The 10,312-nt window shown below is 50.5% G+C and overlaps 5 annotated features.

The window, feature by feature from the left end:
• Positions 5,754-6,070: a silencer, noted in NCBI's record as "fragment chr9:134128001-134128317 (GRCh37/hg19 assembly coordinates)". NCBI's record gives its function as "represses an EF-1alpha promoter that drives an FKBP-Casp9 reporter gene in an ReSE screen in K562 erythroleukemia cells {active_cell/tissue: K562}" and the evidence as "EXISTENCE:reporter gene assay evidence [ECO:0000049][PMID:32094911]".
• Positions 5,777-5,826: an enhancer, noted in NCBI's record as "active region_29172". NCBI's record gives its function as "activates an Ori minimal core promoter by ATAC-STARR-seq in GM12878 lymphoblastoid cells {active_cell/tissue: GM12878}" and the evidence as "EXISTENCE:reporter gene assay evidence [ECO:0000049][PMID:35858748]".
• Positions 7,022-7,523: an enhancer, noted in NCBI's record as "H3K4me1 hESC enhancer chr9:134129269-134129770 (GRCh37/hg19 assembly coordinates)". NCBI's record gives its function as "activates a minimal SCP1, AML or CMV promoter by ChIP-STARR-seq in primed H9 embryonic stem cells {active_cell/tissue: H9 hESC(primed)}" and the evidence as "EXISTENCE:reporter gene assay evidence [ECO:0000049][PMID:30033119]".
• Positions 9,080-9,229: an enhancer, noted in NCBI's record as "active region_29173". NCBI's record gives its function as "activates an Ori minimal core promoter by ATAC-STARR-seq in GM12878 lymphoblastoid cells {active_cell/tissue: GM12878}" and the evidence as "EXISTENCE:reporter gene assay evidence [ECO:0000049][PMID:35858748]".
• Positions 9,610-9,789: an enhancer, noted in NCBI's record as "active region_29174". NCBI's record gives its function as "activates an Ori minimal core promoter by ATAC-STARR-seq in GM12878 lymphoblastoid cells {active_cell/tissue: GM12878}" and the evidence as "EXISTENCE:reporter gene assay evidence [ECO:0000049][PMID:35858748]".

Raw genomic sequence — 10,312 nt, forward strand, 5'->3', positions numbered from 1 at the left:
ATAATATGATTATATGCAAACTCTTCCAGAAAATTCAAGAGAAGAGAATACTTCCCAATTCATTCTATGACACTAGCATTACTGTGACACAAAAACCTAACAAAGACATATAAGAAAAGAAAACTACAAATACCCATCAAGACTGATGGAAAAACTCTTATTTTATTTTATCAAGAAGTTTTTTCTTCCTACAAGATGCCAAACAGAAAAATTCTTAATAAGCTTTTAGCAATCAAATCCGATAATTTATAAAATAGATAACACTTGATGACCAAGTGGGGTTTATTCCAGAAATTCAAGGTTGATTCAACATTTGAAAATCAATCCATGTAATTCACCATATTAACAGAGTAAAAAATTAAAAAAAAAAAAAACCATGATTATCTCAGTAAATACCGGAAAAGCATTTGATAAAACCCAATGTCCATTCTTGATAAAAACTCTCAGCAAACTAGATATTGAAGGGAACTTCCTCCACCTTATAAAAGGCATCTAAGATAAACCTACTGTTAACATCGTACTTAATGGTGAAGATAGAGTGCTTTCACCCCAAGATAGGGAACGAGACAAGAATATCTACTCTCACCACTTCTATTCACATTGCACAGGAGGTTCTAGCCAATGCACTTAGGCAAGGAAAAGAAACAAAAGGCATGTAGCTTAGAAAGAAGATGTAAAACAGGCTTTACATGCAGATAACATAATCATCTACTCAGAAGATCCTGTGAAATCTAGGGAAAAAGTTATTTTCGAGACAGTCTCACTCTGTCACCCAGGCTGGAGTGCAATGCTGGGATCTCCGCTGGCTGTAACCTCCACTTCCTGGGTTCAAGCAATTCTCGGGCCTCAGCCTCCTGAGTAGCTGGGATTACAGGCGCGTATCACCATGCCCAGCTAATTCTTGTATTTTTACTAGAGATGGGGTTTCGCCATGTTGGCCAGGCTGTTCTGGAACTCCTGACCTCAAGTGATTGCGAGTCGTCCGCCTCTCCCTCCCAAAGTACAGGAATTTCAGGCATAAGCCACTAAGCTCGGCCAGAAAAAGCTATTAAAACTAGTAAGTGACTTAAGAAGGCTTCAGAATACAAGCTCAATAAACAGAAAACAATTGTCCTTCTGAATACTACCAATAAGTAATCAGAAATTGGAATTCAAAATTCCAATATCATTTACAATAGCAACAAAAATATGATTTGCCTAAGTATAAATCTAACAAAAGATGTGCGGCCGGGCGCGGTGGCTCACGCCTGTGATCCCAGCACTTGGGGAGGCCGAGGTGGGCGGATCATGAGGTCAGGAGATGGAGACCATCCTGGCTAACACAGTGAAACCCCATCTCTACTAAAAATACGAAAAAAATTAGCCAGGCGTGGTGGCGGGCGCCTGTAGTCCCAGCTACTCAGGAGGCCGAGGCAGGAGAATGGCATGAACCCCAGAGCAGAGGTTGCAGTGAGCCGAGATCGTGCCACTGCCCCCCAGGCCGGGGGACAGAGCGAGACTTCATCTCAAAAAAAAAAAAAAAAAGACGTGCAAGACTGTACACCAAAAACTACAAAACATCGCTGATTGAAATTAAAGAACACCTAAATAAACGGGACACACAGTCATGAATCAGAACATTCACTATTGTTAAGTTACCACTTCTCTCCAAATTGACCTATGGATTCAATGTAGTCCCAATCAAAATCAAAATCCCGACAGACTTCTTTTTTTTTTTTTTTGGTAGCTGATTCTAAAATTCATATGGAGATGCAAAGGAGCTATAAATATTTCATAAAATTTTGGAAAAGAAGAACAAAGTTTGAGGACTTACACTTCTTTTCTTTAAGACATTATAAAATTTGGCCAGGTGCGGTGGCTCACGCCTGTAATCCCAACCCTTTGGGAGGATGAAGGGGGAGGATCACTTGAGGTCAGGAGCTCAAGACCAGCCTGGCCAACATGGTGAAACCCTGTCTCTGCTAAAAATACAAAAAATAGCTAGGCATGATGGTGCACTCCTGTAGTCCCAGCTACTCAGGAGGCTGAAATAGGAGAATCACTTGAACCTAGGAAGTGAAGGTTGCAGTGAGCCGAGTTCGTGCCATTGCACTCCAGCCTGGGAGACGGATGGAGACTCCATCTCAAAAAAAAAAAAATAATAATAATAATATATATAATTTATATATATAAATTATTAAAATAGTACATGTACTTCCAAAATATATACAACTATTATTTTAAAAGACATATTAGAAAGCTACATTATTCAAGACCATGTGGTCCTGGTGTTAAGATTTAAAGAAACATAGGTTAATTGTACAGAATAGAACATCCAGATATAGATCCACACGTATCTGGTCACTTGATTTTCGACAAAGGTGGAAGGTAACACAGTGAGAAAGGACAGGCTTTGCAACAAAAGCTGCCGGGACGATTAGGTCTCCATGTGCCAAAATGAGAACTTTGACTCCTGCCCTGCACATATAAAACTGACTCAAAATTGGACCATAGACATCAATATAAAATCAACTATTGAAGAAAACACAGGAGAAAATCTTCATAATCTTGGATTAAACAAAGATTTCTTAGACCAAAAGCATAATCCATAAAAGAAAGTATTAATAGCTGGGTGCAGTGGCTCTTACCTATAATCCCAGCACTTTGGGAGGCCGAAGTGGGAGGACTGCCTGAACTTAGGTGTTTGAGACCGGCCTGGCCAACATGGCGAAACCCCATCTCTACAAAAAATACAAAAATTAGGCTGGGCATGGTGGCTCACGCCTGTAATCCCAGTGCTTTGGGAGGCCGAGGCGTGTGGATCATGAGGTCAGGAGTTCAAGGCCAGCCTGGCCAACATGGTGAAACCCCGTCTCTACTAAAAATACAAAAAGTTACCCAGGCGTGGTGGCAGGTGCCTGTAATCTAAGCTACTCAGGAGAGGCAGGAGAATTGCTTAAACCTGGGAGACGGAGGTTGTAGTGAGCAACCTGGGCAACAGAGTGAGACTTTGTCTTAAAAAAAAAAAAAATAGCAGGTTTGGTAGCTTGTGCCTATAGTCCCAGCTACTCCAGAGGCTGAGGCAGGAGGATGGCTTAAGCTTGGAAAGTTGAGGCTACAGTGAGCTACGATCATACCACTTCACTCCAGCCAGGACAACACAGCAAGACCCTATCTCTTAAAAACTAAAAAATTGTTCACTTTACATATTATATGTTAATTATACCTAAAAAAAGCTGTTTTTTTAAAAAAAGAGTTTGAGCAACATCACCTCCCCTGCTCCTACTCTTAAGACTTAAGAGAAATTCAAGGCTAGGCACGGTGGCTCATGCCTGTTATCCCAGCACTTTGTGAGGCCGAGGAGGGTGGATCACCTGAGGTCAGGATTTCGAGACCAGCCTGGCTAACATGGTGAAACCCTGTCTCTACTAAAAATACAAAAATTAGCCAGGTGTGGTGGCAGGCACCTGTAATCTCAGCTACTCAGGAAGCTGAGTCAGGAGAATCACTTGAACCTGGGAGGCAGAGGTTGCAGTGAGCTGAGAGGCGCCACTGAACTCCACTCTACTCTAGCCTGGGCAACAGAGTGAGACTCCCTCTCAAAAAAAAAAAAAAAAAAAAAAAGGGCAAACTCTTTTTTTTTTTTGTTTTGAGATGGAGTCTCGCTCTGTCGCCCAGGCTGGAGTGCAGTGGCACGATCTCGGCTCACTGCAAGCTCTGCCTCCCGGGTTCACGCCATTCTCCTGCCTCAGCCTCCTGAGTAGCTGGGACTACAGGCGCCCGCCACCATGCCCGGCTAATTTTTTTGTATTTTTAGTAGAGACGGGGTTTCACCGTGTTAGCCAGGATGGTCTCGATCTCCTGACCTCGTGATCCGCCCGCCTCGGCCTCCCAAAGTGCTGGCATTACAGGCGTGAGCCACCACGCCCGGCCAAAAGGGCAAACTCTTAGAGTGGAGTGCTGGCTGCCAGGGGCTGGAAAGAGAGGAGAAGGGGGAACTGTCCTTTAATGTGTGTAGTTTCAGATTTGTAGGATGAAAAAGTTCTGCAGCTCCGGGAAGGTGACTGCCTGCCAAGGAGGCAGGCGGCCAGCCACAGTTCTGACTCCAGGAGCCACATGTACCTATGCCTTTTTTTTGGGACAGAGTCTCGCTGTTTTTGCCTGGGCTGGAGTGCAATGGCGAAATCTCGGCTCACTGCAACCTCCGCCTCCCGGGTTCCAGCAATTCTCCTACTTCAGCCTCCTGAGTAGCTGAGATTACAGGAGCCTGCCACCACCCTGGCTAATTTTTGTATTTTTAGTAGAGATGGGGTTTCACCATGTTGGCCAGGCTGGTCTCGAACTCCTCACTTCAGGTGATCCACCCGCCGCGGCCTTTCAAAGTGCTGGGATTATAGGCGTGAGCCACCGCACCCGGCCGCACCTATGCTTTTGATGATGAGTCCAATGACAGTGATTGCGGTTAACACGGATCAAACCTTAGGCACTGGCTGCCCACCTCGGTCAGGCTGCAACCAGGAAGGAGGCAGCCCACCCTCCAAGGGACACGTGGTCCACATGAGCAGCTCGGCCAGGGGCCTTTCTTCCACCCACCTCATCTATCTGCCTCATTTATACCAAGTGGGCCCGGGACAGATGCCGGCCACGGCGCTGCACAGCCTCAAAGCATGTCCAGCAAGATGGCCTGTGGGGTGGGGGACCTCACCCCTTGTATTGTTTTGTCCTCTCAAAGTCTCAGCTAAAATTGGGGCAGCAAATAAAAGCTTTTTGGGCGGTGGGGGGTGGGGCAGGGATCGGGTCTCGCTGTGTGACCCAGGCTGGAGTGCAGTGGTGCAATCACAGCTCACTGCAGCCTTGAACTCCTGGGCTCAAGCAATCCTCCTGACTCAGCCTCCGGAGGAGCTGGGATTACAGGCATGCCCCATCACGCTGGGCTAATTTTTTCTATTTTTTGTAGAGATCAGGGTCTTACTATGTTGCCCAGGCTGGTCTCCACTCCTGGGCTCAAGTAATCCTCCTGCCTTGGCCTCCCAAAGTGGTGGGATTACAGGCATGAGCCGTGGCGCCCAGTCAAGAAAACCATTTTATCATCCTGTTACAACAAGGTCAATAATAGGTGTTAGCTATTGGCGGTTCTGTGCTGAGGGCCTTGCCTGATGACCCCCCGGAACCCTCCTCCCTGTGAGGAAAGCGTAACCCTGTCTTGCAGATGAGGAAACCGAGGCTCAGTGGTGCCGCCGAATCACTCGGATTTGCTAAGCGCTTACTCTGGGCTGGGCACTTGTCCAGAAGCTCAGGACCATCGGCTTCACGTGCCTCCGCAATCTCGTGAGGTGAGGAACCACCTCCGTCCCCACTCCATGTCCTAGGAAACCGAGACCTGAGAGGAGGGGGACTTGCTCAAGGTCACAGCCGTAGAGGCACCGCCCGCCCAGGAGGGCTCACATGACCCTCTCCGGCCTCCAGGCCCAGCTGCAAGAGGAAGCACCGTCCTGGGGAGCCCGGAGACCCAGGCCCCCCTCACAGGCGAGGGGCTGGCACGCGGCCTCTGGAGGAACTTCTGGCCTTCACCGTCTCCGCCTGGTCACTCGTCAATGGCCGGCTGCCTTCTGGAAAGCTGCTGCTGCGCGACAGTGACCCTGGGTGGAGTGAGGCATCCACGGGTGCTCGCTCCCAGAGATGGAGGCCGGAGCCCTGAGCAGAGGCGCCGGCTGTGCCCCGGTCCTCTGTGGCCCCCAGGGCTGCAGAGCTGGGCAGGTCGATTCCCTTGTCACTCCTAAAAGAACATTTGAAGCCCCCAGCAGGCTGGTGTGGGCACCCCAGTTCCTCAGCTACTCTGGGCTCTCCTTCCCCAGAGGCTGTGGGACCTGCCTTCCGGCCTCCGTCACATGACCGCACAGCGAGGAGGCGCTTCTGTGAACCAGGAGGTGGCCCTCACCACGCAGAAACTGTGGGCGCCTTCATCTTGGACTTCCAGCCTCCAGAACTGTGAAGGATTGGTTTCTGTGGTTGACGAGGCATCCGGTCTATGGTTACTTTATTCTAGAGCCCAACTGGGCCAAGGTGATTGTACGTATCTGTGAATATACTAAAACCATAGAACCGTACACTTTCTATTTGCTTTTATTTTGTGAGACAGGGACTCACTGTCGCCCAGCTGGAGTGCGGTGGCACGATCAGGGCTCGCTGCAGCCTCGACCTCCCACCTCATTCTCCTGAGTAGCTGGGATGACGAGAATGTGCCACCGCGCCCAGCTAATTTTTGTTGTTGTTGTTAGCTTTTTGAGATGGAGTCTCACTCTGTCACCCAGGCTGGAGTGCAGTGGCACAATCTCGGCTCACTGCAACCTCTGCCTCCCGGGTTCAAGCAATTCTCTGACTCAGCCTCCCGAGTAGCTGGGGTTACAGGCGCCCGCCATCACACTCAGCTAATTTTTGTATTTTTAGTAGAGACAGGGTTTCTCCCTCTTGGCCAAGCTGGTCTTGAACTCCTGACCTTGTGATCCACCTGCCTCAGCCTCCCAGAGTGCTGGGATTACAGGCATGAGCCACTGAGTCTGGCCTATGCCTGGCTAATTTTTAAGTTTTTTTGTAGAGATGGGGTCTCACTATGTTGCCCAGGCTGGTCTCAAACTCCTGAGCCCAAGATCCTCCCACTTCGGTCTCCCAGAGTGCTGGGATTACAGGCAGGAGCCACTGCACCGGCCAGAACCGTACACTTTTTTTTTTTTTTTTAAATGGAGTCTTTGTCACCCAGGCTGGAGTGCAGTGGTGCAATCTCACTGTAACCTCTACCTCTCAGGTTCAAGTGATTCACCTGCCTCAGCCTCCTGAGTAACTGGGATTACAGGCGTGTGCCACCATGCCCTGCTAATTTTTGTATTTTTTTCAGTAGAGACAGGAGTTCGCCATGTTGACCAGGCTGGTCTTGAACTCCTGACTTCAGGTGATCTGCCCGCCTTGGCCTCCCAAAGTGCTGGGATTACAGGCAGGAGCCACCACACCCAGCCAGAACCGTACTTTAAATAGGTGAGTTGTGTGGTATGTGAACTGTATCCCAATAAAGCTGAGGTAAAGCATTTTAATACGTTTGTGTGACTGTCTGACCAGCATTCAGTCTGCATTTGTCATGGATGCTGAGAATCCCACATCACTAAGCCAGGCCCCTGTGGTCTAGATGTTGCAGAAGAATTGAGCCGTATTTAGAGAGAAGAGTCCCTGGTCTCTGAGCTAAGCCCTGGTGCTCAGTGTGATTATTCTGGGGGCTCCATTTGCATGTTTAACACGGAGCACAACTGCTATGCCTTTGCTGGGCCCCGGACCGGGGAGGACAGGGTAAGTGTGCGTGTCTCTGGCCTGACGATTAGGAAACTCAGGCATGTGAGGTTGAGCGACAAGCCTGGCCTCACTCAGCAAGGCAAGTGGCAGCCAGGAATAGTGCAGGGCTCCCAGCTGTGTCTGGCCCGCCGTAAACACCCACCCTTCTTCTGTCTGATTGAAAAGGGAACATGAAATAAGAACCAGGGCTCAGGCTGATACAGGAACTAATCCTGCCTCTGCATTCCAAGTCGTGCCGTCTGGGCCTGAAGGGAGCTGGGCTGGCCTTCGCCAGTTCCCATGTTGATTTCGGGTTCACCTCCCTGCACACAGGCACAGAGATGGAGTTCATTCACTCCGACGTGTTCGCTTGCATTTAGTAGTTTCCATCGGCCGGGCGCAGTGGCTCAAGCCTGTAATCCCAGCACTTTGGGAGGCCGAGGCGGGCAGATCACTGAGGTCAGGAGTTCGAGACCAGCCTGGCCAACGTGGTGAAACCCCATCTCTACTAAAAATATAAAAATTAGCCGGGCGTGGCGTGGAGCGCCTGTAATCCCAGCTAGTCAGGAGGCTGAGGCAGAATTGCTTGAACCCGGGAGGCAGAAGTTGCAGTGAGCTGAGATTGCACCATTCCACTCCAGCCTAGGGGACAAGAGTGAAACTCCGTCTCAAAAAAAAAAAGTTTCCATCGTCCAGGGTCAACAGGGCTGCTAAGGACTCGGACTCAGCGTCATGCCGAGGAACCTTAGCAACAGGACAGCTGAGGGCAGTCTGGTAGAACTGGGGTACCAGAAGGCTGGGGTGTCATAGAAGGAGCTGAGACAAAGCACGGGGTCAAAGGCCGGGTGTTTGAAACCAGCCTAGCTCTGCATCTTCCCAGAAAAGTGACCTTTGGCAAGCCCCTTGGTCCCTTCTGTGGGGCAGCGTCCTCACTGATTGAAGGGGAAGAGCATACTTGAAGGGTCAGCAGTGGCAGGAAGGGGCCTGGACAGCACCGGAGTGGCTGGTTGTGCCCTGTGATCCTGATGGGCAATTTTTGGACTGTCACACAGTAAAATATTTGCTTTCATCCTATGCCCAGACCCCAACCAGGTGGGAAGCCATTTCTGTGGGGGCGCCCAAGCAGGATAGAGGATGACCAAGAGAACCACCAAGCCAGAGGCGACAGAAGATCACCTGGGCTGTTAGAAACCTCCGAGGGCCTGCAAGCGCCACAGGCCATCACACTTTTTTTTTTTTTTTTTTAGATGGAGCCTCACTCTGTCACCCAGGCTCTGGAGTGTAGTGGTACAGTCTCGGCTCACTCCAACGTCTGCCTCCTGGGTTCAAGCGATTCTCCTGCCTCAGCCTCCTGAGTAGTTAGGATTATAGGCACCCGCCACCATGCCTGGCTAATTTTTGTATTTTTAGTAGAGACAGGGTTTCACCATGTCGGTCAGGCTGGTCTTGAACTCCTGACCTCGTGATCCACCCACCTTGGCCTCCCAAAGTTCTGGGATTACAGGCGTGAGCCACCGCACCCCGCCAGGCCATCAGCTTTTTTGTTTCCTGATGAAACTGTCTTCTTTTGGGCTCCAAGAGGGGCTTTCCTGTTTGGCCTCATGGCCCAGACTACAGCAAGTCTCTGTCCCATTTAAAACAGCCCCAGAGCAGAAGAGGCTCTCCTGAGAAGTGACTTTGAAAGTGGGAGGTGGAGATGTTATGGGGTCGCTGTGCAGCTGCTTCTCCCAGACCCTGGATGTCTCAGGCAGGTGAGCCTGGCCTGGCCCAGACAGCCGGCTCTCCCAGGCCCAGATCCTGGAGAGGAACCCGTGACAGCTGGGCAGAATCTACTGTCTGTGCCTCTTCTCCCAGTCTGGACTTCTAAATTTCACCTGCTGTCAGCTGGAGAGGCTGGAGGGCTTCCACTCTGTGACTAAATGCCACTTGGAATCCACTTTACTCACAACTCCCTCCTTGTACATTTCCCTCTCGAAACTGTTACCCACAGATTCAGCTGCGTCTCCCCATCTCCCGTCTCACTGCGCCTCTGCATGAAGGCTTTGCTCTCCTGAGCTTCTGAAACCCTGCTATCAGGTTAGGCCTGCATCCCATTCTCTGTACACACACACACACACACACACACACACACACACACACACACACACACACACACACACACACACCATAGTCTCTCATGGGCAGAGCTCAGGAGCCGACTCCACACCGAGAAGCCAAACCACGACAGTGAACTGCACCACCCAGGAGCCATCTGCGTGGAGCTCGGCCAGCAATGCCTGTTATGCAATTTCCTGCTTTGGTGTCTCAGCCCCAGGAGGCAGGATGTGAGCGCCGTTGGTTTGCTGCAACGTGGAGAACCCACAGAAGACCCGAATTCTGATGCCCAGAGTGCATGGGGCCTCCCTGTCCCCGTGGGGGTGCAGAGAAGCCACTGCCCACCCTGGATGATGAGCCTGTGTGCGGTGGGTGCAGCAGCCGGCCCCTGCTCAAAGGGAATCAGATGGGCTCATTGTGGGCCAGAAAGAACTGACTGCCCCGAGACTTCCGGGGTGGGGAGGGGGGTGCACTTCCTGCCCGGGGCACCCAGGATGGGGGAGCAGAGGCCTGGGACCTTCTCAGTAACAGTCACCAATGTTATTGGACACTGCACATGGCCCCACCGTCTCAGGCTCAAGACTGAGAGTGCGCTATGGCGAGAGGTGGCTCTGTGGCCAGAGTTCGAATCCTGGCTCCGCCTTCCCCTAGCTATGTGGTCTCAGGCAGCTCCTTGGCGTCCACTCTCCCCGTTCCTTCGTCTGTGAAATGGGGGTGGCAGTTAACACCTCCCTTGTGGGGTTGTCATGAGGATTCAATGAGTTCGCACCCAGAAAGAACAGGGAGTTTCCACTGAATCCGCCAGGAGGCAGCTCCTCTGAAAATCTCCATTTTCTTTTTCCTTTTTTTTTTTTTTTTTTTTTTTTTTTGAGACAGGGTCTCACTCTGTCACCCAGGCTGGAGTGCAGTGGCGCAATCTCGG

Source organism: Homo sapiens, chromosome 9 (genome assembly GCF_000001405.40).
Source record: "Homo sapiens chromosome 9, GRCh38.p14 Primary Assembly".
Classification (NCBI taxonomy): domain Eukaryota; kingdom Metazoa; phylum Chordata; class Mammalia; order Primates; family Hominidae; genus Homo; species Homo sapiens.